This window comes from Homo sapiens, chromosome 1 (assembly GCF_000001405.40).
Source record: "Homo sapiens chromosome 1, GRCh38.p14 Primary Assembly".
Taxonomy (NCBI): Eukaryota; Metazoa; Chordata; class Mammalia; order Primates; family Hominidae; genus Homo; species Homo sapiens.
Window position 1 is genome coordinate 147,241,750 of NC_000001.11, and position 18,035 is coordinate 147,259,784.

At 40.4% G+C, this 18,035-nt stretch overlaps 1 protein-coding gene across 38 annotated transcripts in view, besides 1 other annotated feature; it reads left to right on the top strand.

Annotated features, from left to right (window-relative positions):
* CHD1L (chromodomain helicase DNA binding protein 1 like) overlaps positions 1 to 18,035 on the top strand; it is a 123,016-nt gene that overhangs the window by 69,003 nt on the left and 35,978 nt on the right. For 13 of the 38 annotated variants that reach the window (NR_145686.2, NR_145682.2, NR_046070.3 and 10 more), the window contains exons 1-5: positions 935 to 1,081; positions 10,874 to 10,986; positions 13,121 to 13,227; positions 14,064 to 14,178; positions 14,782 to 14,813. Coding sequence is in view for 10 of the 38 variants with exons in the window: in NM_004284.6 (NP_004275.4) it covers positions 955 to 1,081; positions 10,874 to 10,986; positions 13,121 to 13,227; positions 14,064 to 14,178; positions 14,782 to 14,813 (494 nt within the window). In the remaining 28 variants the exon portion in view is untranslated. Of the gene's footprint in view, positions 1 to 934; positions 1,082 to 1,390; positions 1,442 to 10,873; positions 10,987 to 13,120; positions 13,228 to 14,063; positions 14,179 to 14,781; positions 14,814 to 18,035 lie in introns of those variants that run through there. The other 25 variants (NR_145690.2, NR_145687.2, NM_001348463.2 and 22 more) reach the window with 10 other exon arrangements.
* Positions 767 to 1,386: a silencer, noted in NCBI's record as "silent region_1279". NCBI's record gives its function as "represses an Ori minimal core promoter by ATAC-STARR-seq in GM12878 lymphoblastoid cells {active_cell/tissue: GM12878}" and the evidence as "EXISTENCE:reporter gene assay evidence [ECO:0000049][PMID:35858748]".

An 18,035-nucleotide genomic window follows, 5' to 3' on the forward strand; every position in this document is an offset into this window, starting at 1 on the left:
GTACAAATTTAACATGAGTTTACTGAAGAAGGAAGCACCAAGATTAACCTAAATGAGAATACTATTCTAATGACATTAGCCAGAGAATAATATCGTTCCTGTTCCAGTACTGCCAATTACCATTACAAGTCCCAATATCTTCATTTACAATGTGGGGACAATTATAACACCTAATTATTGGTTATTGTGAAGGTTAAATAAGAAAATATACTTAAAGCCCTTAGGACACCACCCAGAACTTCATCAATAAATGCAGCTATTTTGTTATTATCATATTTATATTAGTGGTATACTACATCATAAATCCACTCAAAGCTGATGCTGAGTCACGGTGACCCCTAACTGAACACATTGCCTCAATCTGCTCCCCATAATGCACTTGAGATACCCACTGCCACAATGACGTCTTTGGTGATTTTAATTTACTACTATTCAGAGGTTCCCAATTTTGGCCTACAGGTCACAGGCAGTAAGAAAGGGATTTCAGGGACTAAATCAATTTATCACTAGGTAAACCGAACAAGAACAGTTTGATCTTATCGTGAATCACTGGAGGGCACGGAACAAGTCTTACTTCTAGAACCCCCAGGGCCCAGCGGAGTGTCTGACACATGATAGTCGATGTTGATTAAATAATAAATGAATGATGAACACATGCCACCTCCTTGACGGGCAGTTCAGGCAATCAGACGTCCTGTGCGTGATCAGACGCCTAGCGCTTCAGAAGCACGACTGGTGAGAACTGGGCAGCCCTTCCACGCTCCGCACTGCAAGAACTGCCTGTCCGGAAGGGTGACTGCACCAGCTCCGCTCCGGATATCTTGGCAGGACGCGCCCTCTGGCGGCGCCTCGCTCGTAGGTGGGCCCCAGCGCGCAGTCGCGCGCCCCCGCGCGTTGGGAAGTTGGGAGGGAGGTGCGCGCTTGGCCGCGCGGGGCGGGGCCTCTACCGGCCCGATGGAGCGCGCGGGCGCTACTAGCCGCGGGGGCCAAGCCCCTGGCTTCTTACTGCGGCTTCATACTGAGGGCCGAGCCGAGGCGGCGCGGGTGCAGGAGCAGGACTTACGGCAGTGGGGGCTGACAGGTGAGCGGGCTCCGGGCGGACTTCGGCCAGGCGGGCCAACCTATTGGGACTGCCTCTTGCGGGCCGGGGGCGCAGCGGGTGGGCCGCCCGGTGGGCAGTTTACCCGCTCGCGCCAGGGCCTTCCTTCGCTCCTGCCGTGGGCGGAGAGAAACTGCGCCCGGGCTTGGTGGCCACGGCCCCCGCCTGCGCGGCGCGCGGGGCCGGCGGACGCCAGATGAATGAGGTCGCGGGCCCGGTAGCCAGGCCTGGCCCCTGGCCTGTGGAGGGGAAACGTGGTGAGATCAGCGCCACCTGCAGGCCTCCGCTGAAGAGTTGGACGGCCTGGTGCACCAAGGATGTAGGTTTCCAGTTGCTGTTCCGGTGGGTTTGGGTCCCGGCCTGGGGAGTTTATTGGTTGCTTCTGTAAAACGATCAACTCATCTCCCAGCTTCAGCTTCTCCGTTTACTGTGCGCGCGCAGTTATTGGAGAATTCGCCACGGATTAATTCTCCGGATCGAGTTACGTGCGGTAGTGAGCGGACAAACTCAAGCAAAGCACTGTTTATGAAGCTATTTTTGTGTCTTGAGTCATTCATAAATACTGACTGAACCACGTACTATATGCCAACTTAGCTTGTCCGCTCACCACCGCACGTAACTCGATTTATTGACACTAGCCCTTACGGAGAGTCTGCAAAGCGCGAACCTTGCATGCCCCCCAGCCCTGCCGCTGCATGGCTGACCGTACTTCCTGCAGCTCCGAGACCCCGCTCTCCTCCTGGGTCTGCGCTGACTCGCCGCTGAACCGCCCCAGCCTCGTTTTCCTTACTTATAAGTTGGGAACGTAGTGTGTGCTTTGACTGTATTGACAGAATCATGCATCAGTAATAATACAGTCGTTTATTCATTACTTATTGAATGCTACTGGGAGCGTATTCTTAGGCATTGGCTACAAAGATGAGCAAAACAAATAGGGACCCTTCCTACCTAGAGTTTTAGACTAGTGAGAGTGCATTTAAAAGTATAAACTAATTTATTTAAGTGCTCAGTACCACGAAAGAGTAAGGTTTGTCATTCTAGGAATGAAACAAAAGGTGCAATTCTGTGTTCAGCTTAGAAGACTGAAAGATGAAGTTGAATGGAGAGGACGCTGACATGAAAGAGAAAGACCTCTCTCCTTGATTCCCTGAGTCTGTAAGAATGTGTGGCTGTAAGGAGTATGTATCCAGTTTTAAGTATGAGCTTGTAGACTGGTCTTTTTATGTTTGACTTTATCTTAACGAAAGTTTATGTTTGTGGGTTTGCCTATTTCCTTGCAAGTGTTGGGAATGGTTCTTTAAGAACTTGTGTGAGAGAGGGCTCAGAAAAGTGTGCCAGTTGATACTTAGCTGTGGATAATATGCCAGGAGAAACGTACATATGGGCAAGTGTTTTAGTGAAAATGAGGAGACAAGAGGTTGCAAGTTTGAGTGGATGGAATGGAGTGAGTAAATTCAGAATTAAGTAGGCAAATGTGGCAACTTGGATAAATTGGTAGTGGAGAAGGAAAATAGAAAAGCAGAGTCAAAGGAATGGCTACTGAATATTATAACTTGTAATTTCTATTTCTGTTTACCAGAATAAACTAGTGTTATGAGAAACTATTCTTCATGAGTTGGTTAAAAAAATTCTTACTACTTTTTTTTCGTTTGGTTACAGAAGTAGTACGTATTTTCAGTAAAACATTCAGGGAAATAGCCTATGCATAAAGAAAATAAATATTAATCTCCATAATCTCCTTACTGTTAACATGTTCTCTATCCTGTATAATTTCTTTTACTTTCTGGTGGAGGGGGAAGGTGAAAAATGGAGTTTCATGTACATTTTTTTGGGAAATCATAACTTTTTTTCCTTATCATTCAGTCTTCTTCAACATCATTCTTAATGGTTACAGTTTTTCAGTATATGGATGTACCATAGTTTAGACAGTCCCTCTTCTTGGTATTTAGGTTCTTTTTTTTGCTATTGTAAGTAACATAAATATCCTTGTAACCAAATATTTATTATAGGTATGGACGTTTAATTCCTGAAAGGTACCATTTCTAGAATAAAGAGTATGCAAAATTTTTGCTTATTTCTCTATACTCTCAGCAACACTGGTATTTTCTAATTTGAGAAGTTAATATGCTATCGTATTGTTTAATTTAATGTTTATTTGGTTACCAATATTGATGGACATTTGGATATTCATCTTTGGATCATGAAGTTACCTTAGGACCTTTTTGTTTCTGGAATATGCAGACCTATTACTTCTTGCTGTTTTGCTTGCTTTTTCACTACTTGTCATCTCCCTGACAGAAGGGCAAAAGAATCTACATCTGGAGGTTAAAAAGCTAAAGACTACCTTTCCCAGACCCCACTGTAGTTTGGTTGTAAACGTGACTTGGCTTTAGCCAGGCACGTGACTGGGAGATTTGGAAGGGGAAAGTGAGGGGAAGGACACAGAGGGGTTTGGATTTTCCGCTTCCCACTTAGCTACTACCTCATGGGTCTGTGGGAGGGTACAGAGCATTCATTTTGTTATCATGGATTGTGGCTGCGTTGATAGGTCCCTGGGGCTGACAGTACCGTGGCCTCCTGGTTGGTTCCTGGCTTCCAGGTCGTGGAGGTAGATACTTCCTTGGTGTGTCCATACTGTGGTGCTTGATTTAGCAGTTGTACCCAGAAGATCAGCCTAGATGTTACTCCTCCAGGCCTTTCGACAATTTTGTGGTGATCTAATTCCCTGTATTACATTCCTTTCTGCCTAACCTACCAAGGGTAATTTCTGGTTTTTGCTGTTGACTCCTAAGTGTTAAGTATTGTTATCTTTGTGGATATAATTACATATTATTTTTGAAAATTCAACTTTTTTTTTTTTTGAGATAAGGTCTCACTCTGTTGCCCAGGCTGGAGTGCAGTGGCCCATTGCAGCCTCGACCTGGGCTTCAGTGATCCTCCCACCTCAGCCTTCTGAGTAGCTGGGACTACAGGCATGAGTCACCAGTTTTAAGAAATAATACGGAAGGATCCCATGTAACCTTTACCCAGTTTCCCCTCGTGGTCATATCTTGCAATGTGGCACATTATCACATTGTGTACACTTGCAATGATGGTACACTATCACAACAGGATATTGACATTGGTACAGTCAAGATCCAGAACATTTTCCATCTCCACAAGGATCCCTCAACTTGCACTTTGATAGCTACACTCACCTCCCTTCTACCTCACCAATTCCTTAACCCCTGGCAACCACTAATCTGTTCTCCATTTCTATAATTTTGTCACTTTGAAAATGATAGGTGAGTAAAATCATACAATATGTAGCCTTTGGGGACTGGCTTTTTTTCACTCAGAGTAATTCTCTGGAGATTCATCCAGGTCGTTGCACGTATCAGTAGTTTCTTTTTATTGCTGAGTAGTACTCCACAGCACAGTATACCACAGTTTGTTTCACCACTCACCCACTGAAGGATATCTGAGTTGTTCATAGTTTGTGGCTATTGCCAAAAAAGAAAAGAAAGATATTGTAAACATTTGTATACAGATTTTGTATGAAAATAAATCTTCATTTCTCTGTAATAAATGCCTAGGAGTGCTGTGAGTGGGTCATATGGTAGTTGCATGTTTAGTTTTTAAAGAAGCTGCCAAACTGTTTCCAGAGTAGCTGTACTATTTTACATTCCCACCAGCAATGTATGACTGAGTTTGGATTCTTTGCATCCTTGCCAGCATTTGATATTGCTACTTTTTTATATTGACTATTCTAATGTATGTGAAATGCTATCTCATTGTGGCTTAGATATGAATTTCCCTATTGGCTAATGAAATATGTAACCTCTTTGATAAAATGTCTTTTTCTGTCTTTTGCCCATTTTAAAATAGGATCCTTTGTTGTTGTTGTTTTTTCACTGTTGAGTTTTGACATACTCTAGTCTTTATATAATCTAGATACTAATATTTTCTCAGATATATGTCTTACAAAAGTTTTAAATTTTGGCTAAAATTTATCAGTTTATCAATTTTTTCTCTTATGGATAGTTTTCTTGTTGTTTGGTGTCAAATATAAGAACTCATTGGCTATTCCCAGATCCTAAAGAGTTTTTTCCTAAAAGTTTTACAGCTTCTTATTTAAGTCCATGATCTACTTTGAGTTAATTTTTGTTGCACAAATTTTGATATGTTGTATTTTCATTTTTATTTAGTTCAGTGTATTTATTTCCCTGGAGACTTCCTCTTTTGATGGACTGTTTAGAAAGAAGTGTGTTGTCTAGTTTCCAAGTGTTGAGAGATTTGCCTCTAATGTTTCTGTCCATGAATTCTAATTTTATTACATTGTGGTCAGAGAACATACTCTGTACAATTTCAGTTCTTTTAAATGTGTTGGGGTTTTCTGGCCCTGCTTTAGTTTGGATATGGATTATCTGTCCCCACCAAATATCATGTTGAAATTTGATCCCCAGTGTTGGAGGTGGGGCCTAATGAAAGGTGTTTAGGTCATGGGGGCAAATCCTTCCTGAATAGATTAATGCTCTCCCTGAGCAGGGAGCAGAGAGAGTGACTGACTTCTTACTTACTAGCTTCCAGAAAGCTGGTTGTTAAAAAGAGCCTGGCATCCCCCACGCCTTTCTTCCTCTCTCACCATGTGATCTCTGTACATGCCACCCCCACTTCCCCTTCTGCCATTAGTGGAAACAGTCTGAAGCCCTCACCTGAAGCAGATGTTGGTGCCATGCTTCTTGTACAATCTGTAGAACCATGAGCCAAATAAACCTCTTTTTATTTTTAAATTATCCAACCTCGAGTATTCCATAGCAACACTAAATGGACTAAGACAGGCCCTGAATATGTTGTATGGTCCATGGCACTTGAAAACAATGTGTATTCTCCTGTCTTTGGGTATCAGCAGAGCTGCATTCCTTTCTGGAGGCTCTAGGGGAGAATATATTTCCCAGCATCCAGAGGCTGCCCACATCACTTGACTCCTGGCCCCTTTCCTCCAACTTCAAAGCCAGAAACATTGCATCTCTTTGATCCTTCTCTAGCCAGCTTCCTCTCTAACCACAGCTGTTAAAGTTTCTCCGAATGATGCATGTGATTAGATTGTATGTCCATTGCGTTATCCAGGCCCACCTGGATAATTCAGGGTACTCTTCCATCTCAAGCCCCTTAACCTTGATTATGTGTTCAGAATGCCTTTTGCCATATAAGGTCACATACTCACTGATGCCAGGATCAGGGCTTGGACATCTTTGTGAGGGCCACTATTTTGTCTACCACTTCTTCCTTTTACTTTTCACTTATTTAATTATTTTTGGGTTGAATTTCTTGTAGACAATTTATAATTGGGTTATGTTTAAAATCCACTCTGGAAGTCTTATTTTTTTTTTCTTTGAGACGGAGTTTCGCTCTTGTTGCCCAGGCTGGAGTGCAATGGCACGATCTCAGCTCACCGCAACCTCCTGCCTCCCAGGTTCAAGTGATTCTCCCACCTCAGCTTCCTGAGTAGCTGGGATTACAGGCATGAGCCACCATACCCGGCTAATTTTGTATTTTTAATAGAGACGGGGTTTCTCCATGTTGGTCAGGCTGGTCTTGAACTCCCTACCTCAGGAGATCCTCCCGCCTCAGCCTCCCAAAGTGCTGGGATTACAGGTGTGAGCCACTGTGCCCAGCCAAGTCTTTGTCTTTTAATTGGTATACTTACACCATTTATATTTCAAGTAATTATTACTATGTTTGAGCTTAACTCTGCCATCTTATTTTTATTGTTTTTAGTTTATCTCTGTTTCTTTTTCTTGCCTTCCTGTGAATTATTTGAACATTTTTTAGAATTTTATTTTTGTTTATTTACAGTGTTTTTTAGTTTATCTCTTTGTGTAGCTTTTTAGTGGTCGTTACGGGTATTGTATGTAAATGTACGTATGTGTGTATAAAATCACAGACTACTGATATTGTCATTTTACTTATTTGAGTAAAGTATGGAAACATTACTTCCCTTTATATAAACATTACTTCCCTGTATATCTATCTTCCCTTTGTATTTATAGCTTTACTTTTTGTTTATAATTGTCTTAAATATTTCCTTTAGAACCACATCAGACACTGTTATAATCTTTGCTTCAGCGGTCAAACATAATTTTAAAAACTCAAGAAAAGGAAAACCTATTGTATTTACACGTTTTTGAATGCTGCATTCTCACCTTGATGTTCCAAGGTTCCATCTTTTATCATTTCCTTTTTTTCCAAGGGCTTCCTTTAGCCATTCTTTGAGGGTAGGTTTGTTGATGATAAATTCTCTTTGTTTTCCTTCATCTGAGAATTTCCTCTTCATTCCTGAATACCATTTTTCTTGATTACAGGAGTCTGGATTGACAGTTCTTTTCTTTCGATATTTGAAACATGTTGTGGCATTTCTTTCTGGCCTTTAAGATTTCTGACAAGAAATCTGCTTGCATTTGAATAGTTTTTCCTCTTTAAGTAAGGTGTTGTTTGTTTTTTTTCTGGCTGCATTTAAGATATTTTCTTTGTCTTTTGTTTTCAGCATTTTAATAATTACATATCTTGGTGTGTATTTTTTTTTTTTTTTTTTTTGAGATAGAGTCTCTCTCTGTTGCCAGGCTGGAGCGCAGTGGCGCTATCTCAGCTCACTGCAACCTCCGCCTCCTGGGTTCAAGCAATTTTCGTGCCTCAGCCTCCCGAGTAGCTGGGACTACAGGCACCCGCCACCACGCCCAGCTAATTTTTGTATTTTTAGTAGAGATGGGGTTTCACCATGTTGGCCAGGATGGTCTCAATCTCTTGACCTCGTGATCCGCCTGCCTCGGCCTCCCAAAGTGCTGGGATTACAGGCGTGAGCCACCGCGCCCGGCAATGTTTTGTTATGTTTGCGGTTTACTCAGTTTCTTGAAACTGTAGCTCTTTAGCCAGATTTGGGAAGTTTTCAGCTATTATTTATTTAAGTACTTTTTCAGCCCTATCCTCCTTCACCTGTTTTTATTGGACAACATTGAACAAATGTTAGATCTTTTGTGGTAGTCCTGAAGGTCCCGGAGGGTCATTTGTTTTCAGTCTGCTTTCTCTCTCTTCTGATTGTAATCTCTCTATAACTTCTATTCTGTAGAGTTCACTGATTCTTTCCTCACTTCCTTCCATTCTGCTGTTGATCCCATCAACAGCATCAGTAGCCTTTTATTTTGGTTATATTATTTTTCAGTTTTTAAAATTTCCCTTTGGTCTTTATATCTTTTATTTCTTTGCTGAAATTTCTGTTTCTTACCTGAGGTTTCCTGTTTTTTTCAGTTGTTCAAGTGCATTCATAACTACTTGTTGAAGCATTTTATCATTACTGCTTTAAGGTCTTTGTCAGATAATTCTACCGTCTGTGTCATCTGGGTGTTGGCACCTATTGATTATCTTTTTTCGTTCAGTTTGAAATCTTCCCAGTTCTTGATATAATGAATGATTTTTATAAGAATTGGAGCCAGGCATTTTTTTTAAATCATGTTTAAACCTCCTGTTTGACTGTCTTTGTCTGATGCTGCTCTGGCAGGGGAAGAGGGTCTGCTGCCTTGTTAGTGCCAGGTGGGGATAGAAGTCCAGGCTCCCCCTTCAGCCTCTGTCCACATCTGGGGATTGGGAAGGGGCTCCTCCATCCTGCTGGGTGAGGGTGGGAGTTGTGGCTCCCTCCTGAGTCTCTACTGATCCTGCAGGGGAAAGCTAAGGGGTAGGGCCTCGTTATTGGTTGGTGGGGATAAAAATCCCAGCTCCCTACTTGGCCTTCTCTTATACCATCCTGGCTGGGGTGCTGGGGCACTCGTTGTAGCTGTAGGTAGAAGTCTATGCTTTCCACTTAGCCTTTGCTGGTGGGACCACAGGTTTATTCCTGTGGTGTTTACTAGAATAGAGCAGTTATTATATAAAAGTTTCCTGTCTTGCTAGGCTGCCATTTTCTAGCTGGAGCAGGCTTGTGAGGGGTGGGGGTGGTATGGTTTGGCTGTGTCCCCAACCACATCTCACCCTGAATTGTAATAATCTCCACGTGTCAAGGGTGGTGCCAGGTGGAGATAATTGAATCATGGGGTCAGTTCCCCCATATTATTCTCATGGTAGTGAATAAATCTCACAAGATCTGATGGTTTTATAAATGGGAGTTCCCTGCACAAGCTCTCTTGCCTGCTGCCATGTAAGATGTGACTTTGCCCCTCATTTGCCTTCCACCATGATTGTGAGGCCTCTCCATCCATGTGGAATTGTGAGTCAATTAAACCTCTTTCCTTTATAAATTACCCAATCTCAGGTATTATTAGCAGCATGAGAAGAGACTAATATTGGGAGGTGTTCTTATTTGTTTTGGTTTTGGTCTACATCAGTTGGTGTTTCCAGTTGGCTGATTTCTTGAACTGTCAGACTGGGATATATAAAGCAAAAATAAATTCCAGGGAACTTACTACCCTGCCTTCCGCAGGCCCAAGGTCCCTAGCCAGTCTGCTTCTTCACTACACCTTTCAGAGTTTTATGCTTGTTTTCTGTAGCATGTCTAGGGTTTTTATTTGTACTTAGCAAGAGGAATAAGGGAAAGTAAGTATACTCCCATCAGAAACAGAAATCTCTGAATTTTCTGATTATAAAATGGGGATAATACCTACTCCATAGAATCATTATAAGCATTAAATGAGATACTGTAATTTATTTATTTATTTTTATTATTATTTTTTTGAGACAGTCTCGCTCTGTTGCCAAGGCTGTAGTGCAGTGGCGCGATCTCGGCTTACTACAACCTCCGCCTCCCGGGTTCAAGCAATTCCCCCTGCCTCAGCCTCCCAAGTAGCTAGGATTACAGGTGCCCGCCACTACACCCAGCTAATTTTTGTATTATTTATTAGAGACAGGTTTTCACCATGTTGGCCAGGCTGGTCTTGATCTTCTGACCTCAGGTGATCTGCCTGCCTCAGCCTCCCAAAGTGCTGGGATTACAGGCGTGAGATACTGTAATTTATGTAAAGTGTTTACTACTACTCTGGTATTTGTAAGTGCCTAAGAAAAATAACTTATTTTTTAAATTTTGTACAATTATGTATTTTGAAGATTTTTTTAAAGGTATAAGTTAAACCAGATAGTTATGTTTTTGCTAATAGTTCTTATATAAAGTATGTTTAAGGTCTTTCACCTTCCCAAGATATGGCTATTCTTTGAAATTGGATTTTTTTCACCAAGGGAAAGAGAAAAGAGAGTAAGTTCCGTATTAATTTCACACGTTTTCTGCCATCCCTGTACACAGTTAAATACCCTTTGTGAAACATCATTTCCATTCTTAAAAACAGCGCTTCTGTGTTGAAGCATTATTCAGTGTAGTCCTAAGTTTTTTCCTTTAGCATTGATGGCATATTTAAATGGGTGCAATTAAACAAGCAGACACATGTACAATCCATGTGTTGTTGCTCTTTGTTAAGTTGCATCAGTAATGCCTCATTTCCCAGAATGGACACTGGTGTGAGTCTCAGGCAGTATAGAGGCCAGATCCCAAGTTGACTTTCTCATTTATCAAGTGAATCAGGTAACAATGACAGGCTACTTTGGGGCTTTGAATATAAAGGTGAATAAGTCTGCTCAAAAAGTAGTTTGGAAGTCAGCAGATGTTTAGATATCCATAACTCCTCAGCAAAAGATACGTCCAGTGAGGTTTAGGGTTATGTGAATTTAGGCTGTGTTCCTCATTCAAACTCTTAGAACATTGCCTCTGCATGTACTGAAATGTCTGCTCTTCGGATTTGCTGTATTTTTTGTTTCTAGGGATTCACCTACGCTCTTACCAGCTGGAGGGAGTAAACTGGCTCGCCCAGCGCTTCCATTGTCAGAATGGCTGTATCCTGGGAGATGAGATGGGCCTGGGGAAGACCTGCCAGGTGTGTTACTATGCGACGAGTACTGCTCACCGCCACTGCGATACTTCCTTATAACTCATTCTGGAGCTGAGAGCTCTGGAGCTAAAACAAAGCTCAGTTTCACAAATGTCCCTGGGATCCAGGCTAACTGGCTCTTGCACCGGGAAAGGGCCTTCCCTGTACAGTCTTCTCTGCCTCAGTCATTGCAGTTCCCCTACTGACTTTATTCAGGGCCAGCAAATGCTACTTGTCCTTTCTTTGGATGTTCACATAGCTCTGCTTTAAGCTCTCTAAAAAGATATCACCTCCAAATTTGTTTTGCTAAAATTTTGTTTAGACTTTTTGCATCTATGTTCATGAAAGACATTGGTCTGTAATTTTCTTGTAGTGTCATTATCTAATTTTAGTATTGGGGTAAAGCTGGCCTTGTAGAATGAGTTGAGAAGTATGCCCTTCTCTTCCATTTTCTGGAAGAGTTTATGTAGAATTGCTGTTAATTTCTTCCTTAAATTCTTGCTAGAATTCACTAGTAACTCCACACTTGTTTTGTAGACACATCTGGTTTATAGTAATAAAAGATAAACTTTCTCTAAATTGCATCCTCAGGGAAAGCTAGACTGAATGGTTTTAATTCAATAAGCCACTTATTAAAGAATGGTTCCTGGCACAGCTTGGGCTGAGAAGCCATAGATAATTTAAAAAGAAAATTATTTCTGTTATAAAAACTACCTACCACCCTGTAATCAAGCACTCTAACCATAACCATGAGTTGCAATGCGTGTTTTGCATGATTGAACTTTTGTTTTTGAGACAGGGTCTTGCTCTGTCACCCAGGCTGGAATGCAGTGGCATGATCTTGGCTCACTGCAACCTCTGCCTCCCAGGCTCAAGGAATCCTCAGTCTCCTGAGTAGCTGGGACTACAGGCGCATGCCACCATGCACAGCTTATTTTTAAATTTTTTTGTAGAGATGAGGTCTCACTATGTTGCCCAGGCTGGCCTTGAACTTATGGGCTCAAGTGATCCTCCTGCCTTGGCCTCCCAAAGTGCTGGGATTACAGGCGTGAGCCACTGCACCCAGCCCATGGTTGAAATTATAGTGCGTATATAGTTTGTATTTTGTTAATCTAACAGTGTCACTGTAATTTTTTACTTCGTTATATTCTTCACAGTCATTATCAACATTGCATAATATTCCATCAAGAGAATTTATAATTTACTTAAATGTTCTACAGACGAGAAATGGTGATTCCTCCCCTTTTTGTGCTGTTTAATCTTGATAGGAACATCTTTGTGCTTGTAGCTTTCTCAGGATTTTGAATTATATCCTTAGGACAGATTTTTCTCAGAAATAGCTCAGCATTTGAAGATGGAGTCTCTTGACACATTTTTGTTTTAAAATAGGTTATTTTCTCTGTATATTACAGCAACATTCAAGTCATAAGTGTGTACTAGAATCTTCTGAAGTATGCCCATTTGCCTTTACCAATATTTCCATTTTATACCCTTCCTTAAGCTTAGGATCGTGTATTGTCTGTTTTCCCCGTTAGAATGTGTCCTCCAGGAGGGCTGGGCGTTTTGTCGGTTCTGTTCACTGTTGTATAACTGGAGCATAGGACAGTGCCTAGCAAATAGAAGACACCCTGTAAATACATATGGAAGAAAGGAAGACAGTAGGGGAAGGTGGGAGGAAGTGAGGGAGGAAGGAAAGCATCCTCCCTCACTCGGGAAAGCCTGGCAGGCAGCAGAGGGCCACCATGCGATTGGCCGTTTTTACAGTCATATCTTGGCACTTCTTGCTTAATGTTTTCAGAGTATCGCAGATCTTGGCCATCAGTTGGATTTTCATTGATTTCTATTGTCTTTCCTGACTTTTTCTTTACAGTAGAGGTTCAATTACCTAAACATTGAGCCTCATTGCTTGTTAACTACTGAAGTAATTGAGTTCCATAAATTTCCGTGCAAGTATATTGAGGCTTACATGATTTCGCTCTACGAATGGATTACTCCCCTGATATGCGGAAGTTCGTACAATATTTCTTTGTAAAACAAGTCTTAAACAAGAGTGTGTGTTCCCTACAGGGTTGTGGGAACTTCATGGTTGTTTCTCATGGGGAAATGTGATCAAAACTGCCTTTCTTTTTCTGTGTTCCAGACTATTGCTCTCTTCATTTATTTGGCAGGAAGATTAAATGATGAAGGGCCATTTCTGATTCTTTGTCCCTTGTCTGTTTTGAGCAACTGGAAAGAAGAAATGCAGAGGTACAGAGTAGATGTAGCTGAAATTTTATTGTTTATCTTGATTAAGATTTTTTTTCTGGATGATGTATAAAATATGATAAAACAACCTATTGTCGTAATTAGTAAGTTTATTCCAGAAAACTTTGAGCTGATAGAGTGTAGGTAGACACTGAGGATATAATAGGGGAAGAGTAATATTATTACTATTTGGCAATTTAAAGGTCAGCAATCGTTTGTAGTAAGTATTGATGAACTTAGTAGAAGCCATTGTTTTTTGTTTGTTTGTTTTGAGACAGAGTTTTGCTCTTGTTGCCCAGGCTGAAGTGCAATGGCACGATCTTGGCTCACCACAACTTCTGCCTCCCAGGTTCAAGTGATTCTCCTGCCTCAGCCTCCCAAGTAGCTGAGATTACAGGCGTGCGTCACCACACCTGGCTAATTTTGTATTTTTAGTAGAGACCGGGTTTCTCCATGTTGGTCAGGCTGGTCTCAAACTCCCGACCTCATGTGATCTGCCCGCCTTAGCTTCCCAAAGTGCTGGGATTACAGGTGTGAGCCACCGCGCCCGGCCTATTTTTCATAGTGACGTAGGAAGTAACTCATGTGGAAGAGATCGTTTTATTTTTAGAGTCAGCACAAGACCTTTTTAGATCTGATCCCTCTACCTGTTCACATAGGAACTCGCTCTGAGGTTCAACCATTTTTTTAGATAAGATTCAGAGCCCCAAGACTCTGGTTGTAGGACCTCATGAGTTCTGTACATTGCAATCCTCCCATGAAATGTAATTTTCCAGATATGCACATCCTGTCACATGGATCTAGTATTTATGTTTATCTACTTCTTTTCTTGGATTCAGATTTGCTCCAGGTCTTTCCTGTGTAACATATGCAGGCGACAAGGAGGAAAGAGCCTGCCTTCAGCAAGACCTGAAACAGGAGTCACGTTTTCATGTGCTACTGACTACCTATGAGGTATTCATTCGTTTCTCTATAGCGAGAACTCCTAACCTGTGACCTTAGAAGTTGTAGAGTCTGCTGAAATTATATTTAAGTTTTGTTGAGAGCACACACTTTTCTGGGCAGGGAGTCTACCTTCATCAGATTCTCAAAAGAGGGCTGTAACCAAAAGAAGTGAAGGATCATTGTGCTTCAGATTAGTTCGATCTTTTCCTTTCTTGGTGGATCAAGGGGGAAGGCTTCTCAAGGAAGTGGCACTTGAGCTGCCTCTTGGTTGATGAACAGAAGTCAGGCAGGCAGGCAGGGGAAAGGGTTTTGTGGACTGAGGAATCACGTCTGTTACTGGAGGATAGGAATGGAAGACAGCTCCGGCCTTATTTTAAATCCTTGTTTTTCAGTCTAAGACAGTGTGTGCCACTGACCTTCCACTTAATCAGGCTTTTCTCTTTGTTTTTAAGATGGCGCTACTTAGAAATTATTCTCAGAACTTTTTTTTACTTAGTGAACAAATGAGACTTAGATAAATCCTATAGTTTAAGAGAGTTCACAGAAAACTAGCTTATCAATATCAGAGTTTATCAATGCCAGCCTTTATAACGTGTCTTCCTAATTTTTCAGATTTGCTTGAAAGATGCATCATTTCTAAAATCGTGAGTAGGTTGTACTATTTAAGAACTTGGGTTGAATGTATTATGAATGTCATGTCTTTCCTTCACGTTTTAGTACTTTGCCTCTCCTGGCATGTCTGGTATGTCTTCCATGAGTTCTGTTTATGGGTAGGCGGCATGGTGGGAGTCCTGTGTTTACAGTCCTCTACTCATTAGCTGTGTGTCCTTGGGTTAGTTATTTAATCTCCATGAACTTCAGCTTCTTCATCTGTAAAATGAGGATAATTGTTTCTTACCTCAAATAGCTGTTACGAAAATTAAATGAGATTAAATATACTTTGTATGGTTAATAGATATTAGGCTCTTTACATGCAACTTGCATAGACCCCTTTCAGTACTACCATTTGGAGAGTTTGCTGTAATACAGAAGGAGAACCATTTGAGCTGTTTGCTGGACATAACCTAAAATAGCAATCAGTGCCGTGGAATTAACTTTTTAGAAAGGGAGTTTTAAGTGTACCTCTAATTAGTTAACCTCATATTGGCCCATGAAATCAGAAACTCAGCAATACCACCTAATAATGGGAATGATAGGATCATGTCAAGATAACAGTTACAATGCAGATTAAATAAGGGCTAGAGTTTAGGTAAGAAAGATATGTTGACAGGGTTTCATTCTCTATAACCTCTGTAGTTATTACATGGTTAGGTGGATATTCTGTATTTTAATATTCAAAAATCTTTGTTTTCAAAGTATTTTATCAATATTTTAAATGTTATTTCTTATCCAGGTTCCTGTGAGCTGGATTTCTATTTTCATGTTATTTTGAAATACTAGAGGCTAGGTCATAGATTTCATGACTTCTATCTAGTATTTCATTTAAGTGAGCATATTATCTTATTTTTCTTAAGATATACATTCCCTCTCTTTTTATTATTAATATTCAACTTAATATTTGTTGAAAGTCAGTCACTGGAAAGACATTGTTCTGAGAGTTATTGGCAATATCAGGAAAGTAAATCATAGAGCTTCCCTAAGAAGACAAACTCCAGTGGAGGGATGAGAAGTGTACAGATATCCATAATACATAGCAATATATGGGAAGTCTCAAAAGATAATAAAATTGGGACATAAATGTTGCTGGGTACTTTACATAAATTATCCCATTTAATTTTCATGAAAACCCCACGAGGCAGCTATTATTCATTTTACGGGTGAGGAAAATAAGAGATTTGGTAACCCATCCAAGGTTACATTGCTGATGATAAATAGCAGAGCAGACATTTAAACCCAGCATTTGGTGCTGTGGAGCCTCTTTTTAAGAGAACTTCTCAAAATAGCTAGTTGTACTGGAGTTTTACATTATTCAGCAGAAATAGAATCTTTCTATTTCAGATAATCGGTTTTCAGTGCATTTTCAGGTAGATTTAAAAACCTAAGTAACAGAGGGACATTTATAATGCTGTCCTGTAGTATGAATCCCAACAACATAGATACATTCTTTCAATATATTTGGAAGGTTATATTGCTTATTGCTGTATTGTACATTCTGAGAATAGCAGGGAAGTGTAATATCATCTCTGCCCTAAAGAGATTTATTATGGAGAGTTAAGGCTGTGCATGTTACAAATATGAAAAATTTGAAATGTTTTGGACAATAGACTTGTAAAACTCTTTGGATCAAGAGGATTAGAAGTTACCTCATCCAACTTTCCATTCAGTGCTGGATTTCCCCCATCTTTTCCTCTTCAGGGGACATCATTTAGAGTATCCTTTGATAAGTGATTTGACCCACTTCCTTTCATGAGCCAAAATCCACCACTCTGTAGCCTGTTTCACTGAACAAGCATTTTTTGGACACCTAAATGTCTAGTTCTTCACAAGGGAATAGGACCTAATCTGTTTTGAAAGCTAATTCAGACAGAGCCAGGCACCATCCTAGAGAAACTTCCATACCTTATCTCATGACCACTGTGCAACTTCAACTGGACCTTTGTTTCTTGTCATCCTTAAATGCATCCTCTGCTCATGCCACCCAACCTTCTCCTTCGACTTCCTGCACTCTCTTTGGACCCTCAGTCCTCCCTCTACTCGCTTCTCTCAGTAGGTGAATGGTAATGTCATAGGGACCTCTGTTCCTCTGCCTGTCCTCTGGAGTTTCTCTGTAGCCTCAGGAAGAGGGCCTCCTCCTTGTAAGGTGAACCTCTGCTCAAGATCTTTCTCTAATTTTGGAGGAATTTTCCTTTCCATACCTACTATTTTTCCAGTGTTCTGTTTTACCTGTATATACATTTAGTTTTTTAAATATGAAAATAATGTAATGGGATTCCAGAATGTTTATAATCAAAATAAAAAGTTAAACATCTTATAATTTTCACTTTATTATCTTTTGCATGGCTTTCACATTTGTAAAAGAGGATACATGATATTTATATCTTTTTTATTATTCTATAGGCCTTTTAAATTGCAACATAATCATATTTATTATTTAAAATGCCATGTAATATTTTACTACCTATTATTGGACATTTAGGTTATTTTCCATTTTTTGCTGTTTTAAATAATACAACTTGAAACATTCCCACATATATCTTTTTCTGTATTTTGAATTTTTCTTAAATAGCTTCTCAGTAGTATCTGTCAAAGTATTTGCTTTTATGACTGAAACTTCTTGAGAAATTGCTGATGTGACACAGTATGCTACAAAATGTGCTCTGGCAACAGCCACTAATGACTTCCATGTCAACAAATTCAGTGGATATATCTTCCTGGACATCTCTGTGAGATTTGACTCTGCTCACCACTTACCCATTTTAAAGTCACACTTCTTAAGTTCCTACAACACCACTGTCTATCTTGATTTTTTTCTTCTGTTTGAACATCAGCTCTGTCTTTATGACCTTCACCAAGTCACCTAACCTTTCTGAGCTTTAGTGTCTTTATTAGTAAAATGAGCACAATTGTCTGCTTGCTATACTCTTTTAGACTAAATAACACATAAAGCCCTGAGGTTAGTGTCTGGCACAAAGTAGGAGATCATAAATGTTTCCTTTTCCTTTCTGTCTCTGGCTTCTTCCTTTCTGCATAGGTCTTTCCCATTTTGTTAAAAAAAAAAATCCCTTGGTTTTACTACCTTATCCAGATATTGTATTATGCACATGTAGCCTCTCAGGAAGGTAATTTGGTGGCATTTGTAATAGAAGGGGCTTACTGTTAAGTCTTTTTAATAACAGTCACAGTTTTGTAGTAAGACTTTTGATTGT